This window comes from Homo sapiens, chromosome 12 (assembly GCF_000001405.40).
Source record: "Homo sapiens chromosome 12, GRCh38.p14 Primary Assembly".
Taxonomy (NCBI): Eukaryota; Metazoa; Chordata; class Mammalia; order Primates; family Hominidae; genus Homo; species Homo sapiens.
The window spans coordinates 95,382,420-95,397,521 of NC_000012.12; the positions used below are offsets into that span (position 1 = coordinate 95,382,420).

The window sequence follows — 15,102 nt, forward strand, 5'->3', positions numbered from 1 at the left end:
TAACCATAAGAATGCTAATTGTAAAATAATACCCAAATTTCCACTGGATTATCAAGTTTTCCTTTTGAAGGCCAGGTCCATTCCCTTATGATGTTTCCTTTTCTGCTGATCACCAGGCCTCCTTCCTAATTAAACATCACTGCTACTGTTTGTCTACAAAAAAGACAGAAATTGACCCATTTAGAACAAGAAAAATTCATGCACTCATTGATTTGGCTGAGGTGATGGAAGTCACCAAGATACAGCTTTTAAGAGCATGGGAATCTCTCCTGTCACATTCCTGGAGGATAGTCACTCTCTCTGCCTGAATATCTTTCTGGAAGGAAGCTTGATACATACCTGCTCAGCTGATTAGTGTCCCTTCTCTGAGACATGCCTTCTCCCTCCCCTTGCATCTATAGGGTCATAGGAATGGATCCTGCCAGCCACAATTATCATACCATGTGGGCCTGCTACCTTGGCTATGGCTGATTGAATCAGGGGTGGACATTTAACCACAGCTGTGTTCCAAATGGATACACCCAGATGTGTCAAAGGACTTAGGAGAGGAGGTGGGCATAGTGCATTCAAAGGACTGAAAGGAAGACAGCATGACTAGGGTCAAGAGTGGCGTAAATTAGATGGGAGTGATTGGCAGGCAGTGGTCAGATATGCAGGAATCCTTGGCCATAGCATGAGTTTTATCTTAAGGGCAAAAAACCAGGCTGGGTGCAATGGCTCATGCCTGTAATCCCAACACTTCAGGAGGCCTAGGTGGGAAGACTGCGTGAAGCCAGGAGTTCAGGACCAGCCTGGGCAACAAAGCAAGACCTCGTCTCTATTTCAATAATAATAATAATGATAAAAAGAAAAAAGAGCAAAAAATAATAGAAGGGTTTTAACAACTAAGCAAGGAGGCTACATGATCAAGTGGATTAGGGAGGGACCACAGTACATGCTGGGAGACCAGTTAAGAGGTCATGACTAGCTGAGTGGTCCAGGGAAGATGGCAGCTTGGATGCGAGTACAGGTGAGAAAGACGGAGACCCAGGTATGGATTCAAGAACCATCTAGGGTTTGGATGGATGGGATTTGGGTGGTGAATGAGAGGAATGTGTTGATGTTATCTCCACTATACTCTCTTGGTCTGTGAATGCAGCCAAGCATTTTATTAGTTTCAGATCAGTAGCATCACACTATGAGTCCTTGTCCAAATCATCTTTGGGCCTTCTGTCTTTTGGGCAGAGCCCCTGGCACAGAGAAGAAGCTTAAAGAAAGTCTGTTGAATCATGTTGACAAAATGGATTGTTAAGCCAATATATTTTGAATAATTATTAGACGCAGGACACTGTTTAGGCATTCCAGGGATGCCCTGATTGCAGTTCTCTCTCTACACTTAGGACATTTTCTGTCTTGAGGTAATAATTATTTTGATAGACAACATTTATTATAGCGCCTACTAAGCTCTGAGTGTTGTATGAGAGCCTTAACTACAGGCTTTTAGTAGGTAGTGTTGCTTAATGGTTCCAAACCCTATACGGCCAGACTGGTATGATATTGAATCTGGTTCGTCTGTGTGCTATTGTTGAAGGCTGAGTGAGGGTTGTGATCAACTCAGTATACCACTGGAGGCTGTATGAGTAAACAGCAAACTGTTCTCATGAAAGCAGGATGTTGGCAAACTGACAAACTGCGTCTGCTGCCCAGAAGGAACGCTGAGGGCAGTCAAGCCCCAAGCACAGTGTTTCTTGTGATTAGGCGCATCTGAAGCCTGTTACCAATAATGTGAACCTGTGATCAATTAAGCAGCTGACCAGTCGTTACCCGCTCCTCCCTGCTCTTGCTACCCAATAAATACGAAGGGCTGTAGAAACTCAGGGTGGCTGCTGCCTTTGCTCACTAGAAGCAGGGAGCCCTTTTCTTCTTCCCCTGGCCCCTTCCTTTAAAACAGTTTCTTTTGTCTTAAGTTTTCATTTCTACGTTCGTCCCCCTTCGTTCGGTCTCGTAATGATGGTCTCAAGTAGTAACAGTAGTAACTGTCGTAGTGATGGTCTCAAGTAGTAACCATGGCAGTCTGCCACATCCTATTTTTGTAGATTTGGATTTCCCTCCATTCTCTTCTCTTCTTTCTTTCTCTTTCTTTCTTTCTCTTTTTTTCTTTTTCTTTCTTTCTTTCTTTCTTTCTTTCTTTCTTTCTTTCTTTCTTTCTTTCTTTCTTTCTCTCTCTCTCTCTTTCTTTTTCTTTCTTTCTCTTTCTTTCCCTCCTTCCTTCCTCCCTCCTTTCCTTCCTTCCTTTTTTTTTTTTTTCTTGATCTGTTGCCCAAGCTGGAGTGCAGTGGCATGATCAAGCTAAGGTGACCCTCCTGCCTCAGCCTCCTGAGTATTTGGGACTACAGGGGCATGCCACCATGCTTGGCTAATTTTGTTTATTTTTTACAGAGACGCTCTCACTATGTTTCCCAGGCTGGTCTTGAACTCCTGGGGTCAAGTGATCCTCCTGCCTCACCCTCCCGAAGTGCTAGGATTAGAGGCATGAACCACTATGCTCGGCCTGACTTGGACATATTTCTCAACCTTTCTGTGGCTCAGTTTCCTTGCCTTAAAAGTGATGATAACAATAGCACCTACCTCATAGGGCTGTTGTGAGAGCTAAATGAGTTAATACGTGTAAAACACTTCAGAGCCAGGCACCTTGTAAGTTCTATAAAAATGTTGGCTTTCATGATTAAGTCCTCACAATCCCATCTATAGGTATTATGAGTCCCATTTCATAGACGAGAAAACAGAGGCTGAGAGAGGTTAGTTAATAAACTACCTGCAGCCTAATATAAAGTTTGATAGGCTCACCCTCTACCAGAAGGATGAGAATAGTTCATAGTATAAAAGGAGCACTTTGGGCTTAACCAAGGAGCCTGCAAGCTGGGCTGGAGGAGCAAAGCGACCTAGCCAGTGGAAAAAAAAAAAGAGCAGAAACAGCAGTGCCAAGTCTTGGCCACCTAGAGTACATTCCTTTCTTGAACAGCCTACCCTTTCACTCACCCTGAGCGGTCTAGCCTTCAGCTGTTCTCGTTCCTGCCAGAAGCCTCAGGAAAGACCTTACCCATCCACCGTGCATTTCGGTAGGAGCTTTGGCTAAAGCAGCTGTCTTCCTGTCCACACGGTGTTTCCCTATCCGCTGAATCCCAGTAACAGGGGTCTCACTCCACACCCCTCTTTTATTCCTCTTCCTAACTGCATGGGCTGCTGAGCCTTCTCACCAAGACCCCCTTTGGTGGGAGGGCAGATGCCCAAAAGGAGGATTCTTTTAAAAGATCGTTAATAGTGAAATACTGAAATCCCTTTAAAGGCAGCTTTCTTTTTGTTTTGCCTTGTCTCTTTCAGAGTCTTCAGTTCTGCTGAAAGTAGACATTACTCTCTGCCAAGAAATGGGCTATGAGGCTCGGATAACATTACACAGGGGCAGGACTTAGCGTTTTGGCTTAGTGTTTTGGACTTGTGTGAAGTTCCCAAAATACCATCAGCAGATGGTGTTGCATTTATCTGCTTAGATGCTATTATCAAAGAAGACAGGGGGAGGATGAGGAAGGCAACCACCCCGGAGGGGCGAGTGGAGAAAATTTTTTCATCTCCTGTTTATTTCACAGATATAATTCTCATCTTGGGCATTTAATTTTATGTGTCAAATAAAGGGAACAATTTCCCAGTGCAAATTTAACTGTTGGGAAAAGTCTGATCAGGGCACTGAACATTCTAGCTTCTGCCTAGAAAGTGAAGATTTGTGATGTATTTTTATTTCCATTTTAACGTTGTTGACTTCTAATTCTCTAAGACTGTCAATTAGTCATAAAGGACATCTCAGGAATCATGTTGCTCAACTCTTGCATCAACCACTACCTATTAATTTTTTCATGTATAGCTTTTATTTTTAATTTAGTATTCCTGGAATGATAATTCTTTTAAATTTCATAAAATTGGAGTGAACAAGAAATACCAAGTGCAGGTCCAATTTTCTTATTAGGTGAAAGGGAAATAATGACACCTACTTTAATCATGCAATACAAGACAGCAAATTATATATTAATTTATTGAGCTGTGTCTCTCTTTATTTTTTAAATACATTTATTTATATTTATTTATTTATTTATTTTTTGAGACGGAGTTTTGCTCTTGTTGCCCAGGCTGGAGTGCAATGGTGTGATCTCGGTTCACTGCAACCTCCACTTCCCAGGTTCAAGTGACTCTCTTGCCTCAGCCTCCCATATAGCTGGGATTACAGGCATGCACCACCATGGCCAGCTAATTTTGTGTTTTTAGTAGAGATGGGGTTTCACCATGTCGGCCAGGGTGGTCTCTAACTCCTGACCTCAGGTGATCCGCCCACTTCGGCCTCCCAAAGTTCTGGGATTACACGTGTGAACAACAGTAGTTTTTAAAAATACCTCCCTTTTTTATATAATAGCTTTACTGAAATATAGTTCTCACATCATACTAGTCACCATTTAAAGTATAGAGTTCAATGGTTTCTAGAATATTTACAGAGTTGTGCAACAATCATGATAATCAATTTTAGAACATTTTTTATCACCCCAAAAAGAAACCATGTGTCCACTAGCAGTGACCCGCATCGCTCCCTCTCCTTGGCCTCTGGGCAGCCACTGATCTATTTGCTTTCTGTACAGATTTGCTTAATCTAGATATTTCGTGCAAATGGAATCATACAATATGTGGTCTTTTGTGACTATGCTTTTACTTAGCACAATGCATTCAAGATTAATCTACGTTGTAACATGTATCAATACTTCATTCTGTGTTATGAATGAAATAATATTTCCTTGTATGGCTATACCACATTTTAGTTATCAGTTATTTGTCAGTTGAGTGCTCCTTTTGAGGATGTGTTAATGGTACTGTAATGAAATTATCATAGGGCCTCACAAATGGTGACTCTGTTTTTAGCTCAGACTTCAGGACAAGAAGTACTTTTTTTCATTGGGAATTTAAAAGAGAGAGAAAAGTAAGCAAACATATGCATATATAGATGTGGGTATGTGGATATAAACTCACCGTATTTTTAAGACTATATAAAATACTTTTTTTTTTTTGAGACAGAGTCCCACTCTGTCACCCAGGCTGGAGTACACTGGCATGATCTTGGCTCACTGCAACCTCTGCCTCCGGGGTTCAAGTGATTCTCCTGCCTCAGCCTTCCAAGTAGCTGGGATTACAGGCACAGGCCACCATGCCTGGCTAATTTTTGTATTTTTAGTAGAGATGGGGTTTCGCCATGTTGGCCAGGCTGGTCCCGATCTCCTGACCTCAAGTGATCCACCCACCTTGGCCTCCCAAAGTGCTGGGATTACAGGCGTGAGCCATAGTGCCTGGCCCAAAATACTCTTTGCCATGGATATATTTGCAGAATGGCTAAGAGGTTGAGAGGAAGAGAAAATTTTAATTTCCAGGTAATACTCTGTAGTTTAATTTTTTACCACATGCATGAATTACTTTTATTAAAATACATGTATACAAAAATCAATATACCTTCACCCCTGTGTCAGAGTGGGCTTTCTCACTGAGAAGTTATAAACAGTAAATTCTCTGGTTAGAGAAGCAGAAAGCTGTAGGAGCCCTTAGTCAGAGCCAGCATTTGCAACAGGTCAGAGGAACGTTGAGGATCACACAGGAATCAATTCGTAAGGACTCAACTTTAATAAATGATACTTAAGTGAAGATTTAGACCCAATTATAAGGATGGTGCCACAAGAAGAGGCATCTCAGCAGAGTCTGATTCTCCAGAGTTGAGTGTGGTAGGACACAGTTTGCACTGAACTCAGGCTTCAGTCCTGCCAGGGAGATGTTTTCACCTTCTTAGCTGGATTAAGGGAGGAGACCACCCCTCATATTGTCTTATGCCCAATTTCTGCCTCCAAAGAAAGAAGAAGTAAAAACTAAAAGGCAGAAATGAAATCCACAAGCAGACAGCCCAGCGCCACACCCTGGGCCTGGTAGTTAAAGATCCACCCCCGACCTAATCAGTTATGTTATCTATAGATTCCAGACATTGCATGGAAAAGCACTGTGAAAATCCCTGTCCTGTTCTGTTCCATTCTAATTACCGGTGCATGCAGCCCCCAGTCACGTACCCCCTGCTTGCTCCATTGATCACGACCCTCTCACGCAGACTCCCTTAGAGTTGTGAGCCCTTAAAAGGGACAGGAATTGCTCGGTTGTTGGAGGCGTGAGTCTTGCCGAAGCTCTCGGCTGAATAAAGTCCTTCCTTCTTTAACTCGGTGTCTGAGGGGTTTTGTCTGTAGCTCGTCCTGCTACAGATGAAACTGAACACTGATCTCAGATGCTTCTGAACATCCTTGGCAGTTCACTTCATATCAGTACCTATAATATGGAGTTTATCACTATAGTTTATAGGCTTAGATCTTCTCAACCAATTCTTTACAATCTCTACACTGTCCCAAGTGTCACTACATATTGACATCTCAATTAGATGGACCCTGTGAAAGGAAAATCTTGAGGCCCCCAAATTACTAAGCTGAAGAATAAAGTGAAGCTGGGAACTTCTCAGGGCAAAACCTGCCTCCCATTCTATTAAGTCATCCCTCTGCTCACTGAGATAGATGCATATTCTGATTGCCTCCTTTGGAAAGGCTTATCAAAAACCCCAAAGAATGCAACCATTTGTCTCTCACCTACCTGTGACCTGGAAGCCCCCTCCCTGCTTCGAGTTGTCCCTGCCTTTCTGGATGGAACCATTGTACATCTTACATATATTGATTGATGTCTCATGTCTCCCTAAAATGTATAAAACCAAGCTGTGCCCTGACCACCTTGGGGACATGTTGTCAGGACTTCCTGAGGCTGTGTCACAGGCATGCATCCTTAACCTTGGCAAAATAAATGGTCTAAATTAACTGAGACCTGTCTCAAATTTTCAGCGTTCACATTTTGGTAACCACAAAGGGATTCTGAGTAGAGATGCCCCTGCCTTTGACAAATCTCCTATCGGTGCCTGGTACCAGCATGAGCTAACTTTATGTCTCAAACCAATAGGACAATTTGCTGAGGTCTGAGAGCACGCCCTCCAGAAAGTCCCTGATCTCCCAAAATTTGGTCGAGATCTAAAGTTTATTTTGCTGTACAATTCCTGCTTTTTTTTTTTTTTTTTGGAGTTTTACTTGCTTCCAACACAAGGAAGGCAAGTTTTTCCTGCCTCCATGACGATGTAAGACAAATAACTCCTTTATGGAATTTGAGCGCGCATCCAACAGGGAAGATCAGTTTACTTTTTCCTGCTTCTAGGTTGGTAGAGAGCAGTCCTCAGCCTGAGACCCATCCCTAGGTAAGTAACTGAATTGGTGTTTGTCTTGGCTAAAGTTAAGATTAACAAACAGCTGGTCTTAATTTCCCCTTACCATTAGCGCGCTCAGTGATGATAAGGTTGGGATTTTTTGTTGTTGTTTGTTCCAGTCTTTCTCCCAATGGATTTGACCAACTCTACCTGACTTGGTCAAATCTGAGTGAGAATTCCAAATTATGGGTTACATGGCCTCTCTAATTTGGCTAAAATTCCTTGCAGCTGCAAAAAGCAAACAAACGAAAAAAACGTGTTTGGTTTCTGTGTTTGCAGCCTGTCTTAAAACAAACAAACAAACAAACAAACAAACAAAAAACTCGTCCTTTCATCTACTTTTCTTCCACCCTATACCTCCTTCCCCCTTTTGCCATTTGCAGTACCAAAAAATCTAGAGAAGGCGTCTAATGACTTGAACCTTGAACCCCTTTTAAAGAATTCAGAACAAAGGTGCTCTCACCCCCTTTTAGGGTGTTCTGTCTTCTTTGTGGAGTTTCAAGAGTCATGGGCAGATTCTTTTTAGGTCTAAAGCTCTGTTTTCCTGGATTGCATGACCTGACTTTTTTGGCTTTGGGGTACCAGAGATGACTTTGCACTGTGAGATGATTTGCCCTTGACATGTACAGTGGCAAATGACAGCTGTGAAGTTACAGGTGGTTGAGCACAGTTTACAGGAAGTGGTCTTGGCTGTTTATTTTTCTTTTCTCTCCTAGGAAGCTGTTGTTTAAGGATCCTAATTCTAGTTCAGAGATGCATTCTAAAGGGTCTTCTGTATTGCTTTTACTTGCAAATTTAATCTTAATTCGGTTTGTGTGTGCATTTGCATGAGGAACTGAACTGTTATTTTCTTTTCTTTTTTCTTTTTTTTTTTTTTTTGAGACGGAGTCTCGCTCTGTCTCCAGGCTGGAGTGCAGTGGCGTGATCTCGGCTCACTGCAACCTCCACCTCCTGGGTTCAATTCTCCTGCCTCAGCCTCCTGAGTAACTGGGACTACAGGCGCGTGCCACCACGCCCAGCTAATTTTTGTCTTTTTAGTAGAGATGGGGTTTCACCATGTTGGCCAGCATGTTGTTTTCATACGTTAATGAGAGACTGAGTTTTCTCAGCTTCAAAGAGAAAAGGCATTTGCTCCTCCTAGTTGAAAGTTGCCCCTGGGTGACCAGGGGCCTTGTGGGAGTGTCTGGGGGTTGACCCCCCTCAATGTGCAGTGGCCCTGCAGGGAAATCACTCAAAAACAATTTTTTTAAATGGCTCATCCAAGAAATGCATGTAAGGGCTGATCACCCAACGTTTTGAGCCTTCTCTGAGGTCATAGACCTCTAGAGAGAGAAACTAAGACACATAAGAGGGTGGAAACAACTCAGTGGTAACACACTGTGGAGTCCTGTTCACAAGCGGCACATATTGATCCACCACACAAAACCCTAGGCCACAGCTCAGTTCCTCCTTTTAAGAAAAAAGAAAGTGGGAAACAAATAATCTAAGAATGATGAGAAAGCAAGGAGAATGACCCCCTTTGGAGCAGTCTGTGGATTTTCCGACACATCTACCTGCCAAAGATTATGTAAAATGGAAATAATATGGTCTTTATACACATTTACTTAAGGAAAAAGAGCCCTAAGGTCAATCTGCAAACTACAGTGTTCCTAAGTCCTCTTTTTCTCTATTTTTTCTTTTCTGCCTACTCTAAATCTGCTGTTATTTTTGTATTAAGATAAATACCACTGTTTAGATCCAACAAGTTCTTTTTGCAAGTTGGTGAATTTGTGTTTATCTCATGGCTAAAAGTTCTGAAGTAAAAGCTATAGGATCTTTGTGTGTATGTATGTGTGTGTATGTGTGTGCATATATATTTCAAAGGCCTTTATAATTCCTATAATTTGTTTAATTGGCAATTAAATCCATTTTAATTTCCCGCCAGCACACCAAACTTTTTCTCTCTGCACCTTATAATGTAAAATTTGCTATTTGACTTTCACCTGAGTTGCTTCCTTTAATATACAAATGTAAGGCTATTTAGCTGACAACTACCGAGGGTTGTGAAACAAGTCATCAAGAATCTGAAAGTCTAACATAGGAAAATAAAAGGTTTTTATGACTCTATAAGATGTATTTCCATTGGCATGCCTAGTATGTCTATGTATTTGTGTTTTGCATATACAGTGTTTCATTCCTAAAAATATATAAAAGAGTTCTAATTAATCAGCTTAAAAAATAAAAACACAAGCCAGATACTAAAAAGGAAAAGACTAGTCAAATGCTTTTTCAAGTTATGTAACAAGTAAAATTAATAAATAAGCTAGCTTTAAAATTATTGGTAAAGTAATAGTTGAAATGTCTCAAGAATTACCAGAATACATTTTTGTTTGCATTTATTAATCAAGCAATTTCATACTTATCCGGGCCAAATACTATAAGGTGTCAAAATTTGTCACAGAGGTTACAAAACTATAAGCCCATCTCAAGACAGAATGATCTTTGCTTGTGTAATCTTTAATAAATAAGACATTGATATTGGTTTAATGAAAATAGCTACATCTTGAATTATTTAGTATAATTACCGTAACTTCTAATCTTGTGGCTTCAGGCAGTCTAGTCCACATGGAGTAAGGAGGTCTGTTTTGGGAAAGGATTGTTATTGCCTTTGTTTCAAAGCTCAACTATAAATTAAATTTCTCCCAAAGTCCAGGAATGAACAAGGACACCTTGGAGGTTAGAAGCAAATGGAGTTAGTTAGGTCATATCTTTTTCACTGTCTCGGTTACAGTTTTGCAACAGTAGTTCCATAACTTTAAATGACTATTGCAGTTTTCATAAATAATCTAGGTAAACAATATATTAAAACAAAATAATTAGGTAAATGTAATAGGATACTTGCAGACAAATTCATCATAATTTAGAATATAAAGTTTTATTAAATTAAATAATAGAAATTTCATTATTTGGGTATTTTCCAATAAAAATATAATTGTAGGAAAACATTCTTTCTAAAAAAAAGTGTTTCCTCTTAAAAAAGTTGAACAGTTTTTTTCTAATTCAAAGCTTATTTAAAGATCATGTGTAAAACAAGGTAAAAGGAACCAGGAAATAAAAGAGATATAAAGACAGTTTTTTTTTTTTTTTTTTTTTTTTTTTTTTTTTTTTGAGACGGAGTCTCGCTCTGTGGCCCAGGCGGGAGTGCAGTGGCGCAATCTCGGCTCACTGCAAGCTCTGCCTCCAGGGTTCACGCCATTCTCCTGCCTCAGCCTCCCGAGTAGCTGGGACTACAGGCGCGTGCCACCACACCTGGCTAATTTTTGTATTTTTAGGAGAGACAGGGTTTCACCATGTTGGCCAGGCTGGTCTCGAACGCCTAACCTCAGGTGATCCACCCGCCTTGGCCTCCCAAAGTGCTGGGATTATAGGCATGAGCCACTGTGCTCAGCCAAAGACAGTTACAAAAATAAAGAGGTATTCTTTATTGGTAAGAAAGCTTAAAGAGAAATAATTTTATTTGTGGAAGAATCTTGTATGGTAAATTTAGTCCTAAAATAAAATAACTAGTTGTTTAAGAAGGAGGGATGTTCAGGACAAACTAGAAAGTCCAAGCATGTCATGAATGGTTGGTATAAGTCACAATAAGAGGATTAATATTTTTTAAAAATCCAAAAACTTTTAAATGATCAGGTTGTCATATTAAGTTTTGGTTTGCTTAGGAAAAAAACCGACATATAAAAAATGTTTTTAACTAAGGTTATTACATCCATATAGCTTCCTGTATGTGCTTTTATATTTCTTGTGACTGAGTTACAGGGCTTTGACTCCCTCGCACTACACAGCTCACATTCTAGTTGCAAAAACTAAACTCAATAAATGAAAATTTAATTTCAGATTGTGAATAGTGCTAAGAGGAAATGAATAAAGTGATGGGCAAGAGTAAAGGAAAGGGCAGGACAGGGCTTCTTAAGATGATCGGAAAATCTCTTTTGAGAAACTATCTGGAAGTTGCTCAGAAGGTTAAAAATAGAGTTATCATGTGACCCAGCAATTCCAGTCTTAGAAATGGAAATGGAAACATAAATCCACACAAAAACTTGTACAAGAATGTAGTAGCATTATTCACAGCTGCCAAAAAGTAGAAATACAAATGTTCATTAACTGATGGACAGAAAAATAATGTGCGATATATCCATACAATGAAATATTATTCAGCCATAAGAAGAAATGAAGTACTGATACATGCTGCAACAGGGATATACCTTTTTTTTGAGACATGGTTTTGCTGTATCACTCAGGCTGGAGTACAGTGGTACAATCATGGCTCACTGTAGCCTTGAACTCCTGGGCTCAAGCTCTCCTTCTGCCTCAGCCTCCCAAGTAGCTGGGATGACAGGCGCATGCCACCGTGCCTGGCTTTCTTTTTTTTTTGTAGAGACAGTGTCTCCCTATGTTGCCCAGGCTGGTCTTGACCTCCTGGGGTCAAGTGATCCTCCCGACTTGGCCTCCCAAAAGTCCTGGGATTACAGGCATGAGTTCCTATGCCTGTGCCCAGCCTGGATGCACCTCAAAAGCATTATGCTAAGTGAAAGAAGCCAGTCACAAAAGACTCTATGTTGTATAATTCTATTTGTATGAAATGTTCAGAAGAAACAAATCTCTAGAGGCAGAAGGTAGGTTAGTGGCTGCCTAAGGTTGGAGATAGGATGGGAAATGATGAGTGACTGCTAATTGGTACAAGTTTTCTTTTTAGGATAATGAAAATGTTCTCAAATTAGATGATGATGATGGCTGCCAAACTCTGTAAACATACTAAAAGCTATTGAGTTGTATGCTTTAAATGAGTGAATTTAATGGAATGTAAATTATGTTTCAATAAGCTGTTTAAAATACAAAGAAAAAAAGAAAAGTTTTCTCCAAGAAGGTGATATTTAAACTGGGACCTGAAAGATAAGAAGAAACCAGTCATGCAAAGAGTGGGGACAAGAGCTTTCAGGCACAGGGCACAATGTGTGCAATGGTCATAAAGAGAGAAAGAAGGGCCAGGTGTGCTGGCTCATGCCTGTAATCCCAGCATTTTGGGAGGCCAAGTTGGGAGGATCACTTGAGATCAGCAGTTCAAGACCAGCCTGGCCAACATGGCAAAACCCTGTCTCTACTAAAAATACAAAAATTAGCCGGGCATGGTGGCGTGCACCTATAATCCCAGCTACTCGGGAGGCTGAGGCAGGAGAATCACTTGAGCTGGGGAGGAAGAGGTTGCAGTGAGCCAAGATTTTGCCACTGCACTCCAGCATACGTGATAGAGTGAGACTCCGTGCCAAAAAAAAAAAAAGAGAGAGAGAGAAAGAAGGCTCATAAAGAAGGGGCAGATCGTAGACAAGGTTGGAAAGGGGCCAGAGCAGGCAGCGTCTTCTGAAACTTTCCAGGTCACCACGTTCCATTTAGACACAAACTATAATCAGACAGTATCATTCATATGGAAGTCAACATGAAATATGTTAACAGCAAAACCCATGGATGGGACAGCAAGTGAAAAGCTGTTAACCCCAAATTCTACAGCTGCAAAACACCTGACTGTGGAGAAAAGAGGTATCATCAAATTTTAAAAGGGAAAATATTTAAAACAACACTTAGCCTATAACCAGGGAAGTTCATTAAATTACTCCCACCATTGTCATAAAGATCAATTTCTGTAGCCAGCTCATAAAGAATTCACATCTCTAGAAGGTTGTTAATGTGTTGGGTCCTATAGAACACCAAACAGGAACAGAAATCAATAAAGCAATATAAATACAGACTTCATAGTATCTGAACTTTGTGAGTAGCTGTAGGTGACAGATCTGAGACCTGAGATAAAAGGAGGAGATCAATCCAGGTTGCACCAGCATGGGATGTAGAAAGGGATCAGAGGATGAAACAGAATTCCAAGTGAGAATATATGAATATCCAGGAAAGAGAAGATAACCAATCCTTACAAGTTTTCATCAACATCCTTGATAAACACACTAATACTGGCCTGGTCATCCATCTTATATGTATTTACACTTCTCAAATTCCCCTATGCATGTATCATCCAACCTCTAACAGTATTGGAGGTGGAAAAAGGCAGTGAAGTAGACAGAGAATAATTTAGATTCAATTGTTTCCCTTCTGGTTGATTGCCAAAAATGACTGCAATATTTTAGTGCTTTCTGAAGAAAAGCAGGAGTCTATTTCTCCACTTCCCGAATCTAGGTTTGGCCATGTGACTTGCTTTAACTGATGGGGCATTAGCAAACATGATGCTAGAGAAGTCTTGAAAAATGCTCATGCATTGGGCTTCTTCTTCTCTCTTGCTGCTTTTGGAACCCAGGCACCATGTGAAAAAGCCTGAGCTAGCCTGCTAGACACTGGAGACACATGGCCCAGCTACCTTGTTTCTCTAGCCAATAGCCAGATACATGAGTAAGTTTTCTATCTATCGTTACTATCAGACGGCTCTTTTTGTTTGTTTGTTTGAGACAGTCTTGCTCTGTTGCCCAGCCTAAAGTGCAACCTAAAGTGCCCAGCCTAACCTACATGAACACGGCTCAATGCAGCCTCAAATTCCTGGGCTCAAGTGATCCTCCCACCACAGCCTCCCAAGTAACTGGGAACACAGGCGCATGCCATCATGCCTAGCTAGTTTTTAAAAAACTCACTATGTTGCTCAGGCTGGTCTCAAACACCCAGCCTCAAGTGATCCTCCTGCCTCAGCCTCCCAAAGTGCTAGGATTGCAGGTGTGAGCCACTGCACCTGGCCAAGGAATCTCCTAGTATTGCTCATCTGGTGTGTACTCAGCTCCAGGCTTCTCTTTCTCTCAACATGTTCAGGGTTGGAAGGTAAAAAAGCACTGGAATTAGGATCTGAAAACTGACTTCAGTGCCCTTCTCTGAGCTTTGGAAAAGGTATCCATCTTCTCCAAGCCTCAGTTTCCTCCTCTGGGAATTACACCTAGTCATAGCGTTCCTGGGAAAACTAGATAACTTGCAAAAGTGCTCACTAAAGTGATATATATCAGCAAATAACAAGGGTGAAACATGAATCAAACTCACCAGAAACAGTGTCAAAAGAACCTAACTTTAACAATCCCTGGAATATCAAGTGAAATCCATTTTTTCTTCGTGAAAGTCATGATTACTTTTCCATCTTGTCTGTAGTGTCACAGAATAAGATGTTCAATTAAAATGCCGTAAAATTACATCATGCTTGCTCATCTGTCTTTCGAAACTGTTGAATGACTAGAGTTGGGAGATGAAAAGACTTTTTGAAAGTAAATGCTTTCTCAACTTTTGAAATGCTTCCAGATTCTGTCATGTTCCTTTCATTTCAACATCTAAGCTGGGAAAGACTCTTTGACACCAAGGGCAGGTGTTTACATGCAGCTCATCCAGGTACTTTGCTACCCTATTAATCTGTCTCTCTCTATATATTTGGATCTTCAGAATCAAGCGTTAGTCTTTTGTTTCTTTTAGCTTTTTGCTGGCCTGTACTCTTTGCTGGCAAGCTGCTGACACATTTTGACAGGTGACTTGGCTCATAAAAACAGCCAGGGAAGGGAAATGGTGAGAAGGGGCTTCACCAGGAGCATGGTCAGCACATATGAAATGCTGAATGTGGTAGAAACACACAAAAGGATATTTATGAACTGGTTTTAAAAAAAAAAGGTTCTTGCTCTCTGGATGACCTGATTCTCAACTCCCTTCATCTTGAAGACTTAAGTCAAAATACAGGGGTTGGGAAATATGTGATTGGAACTCAA

General features: G+C 40.9%; 1 long non-coding RNA gene across 1 annotated transcript in view; it reads right to left on the bottom strand.

The window, feature by feature from the left end:
* The window catches only part of LOC105369917 (uncharacterized), a 67,929-nt gene that overhangs the window by 44,850 nt on the left and 7,977 nt on the right, over window positions 1–15,102 (bottom strand). Inside the window, exons 2-5 of the long non-coding RNA XR_001749265.1 lie at window positions 14,396–14,581; window positions 9,904–10,047; window positions 6,120–6,369; window positions 33–153 (exon numbers count right to left, since the gene is read on the bottom strand). This is a non-coding gene — a long non-coding RNA (uncharacterized LOC105369917). The remainder of the gene's footprint in view (window positions 1–32; window positions 154–6,119; window positions 6,370–9,903; window positions 10,048–14,395; window positions 14,582–15,102) is intronic.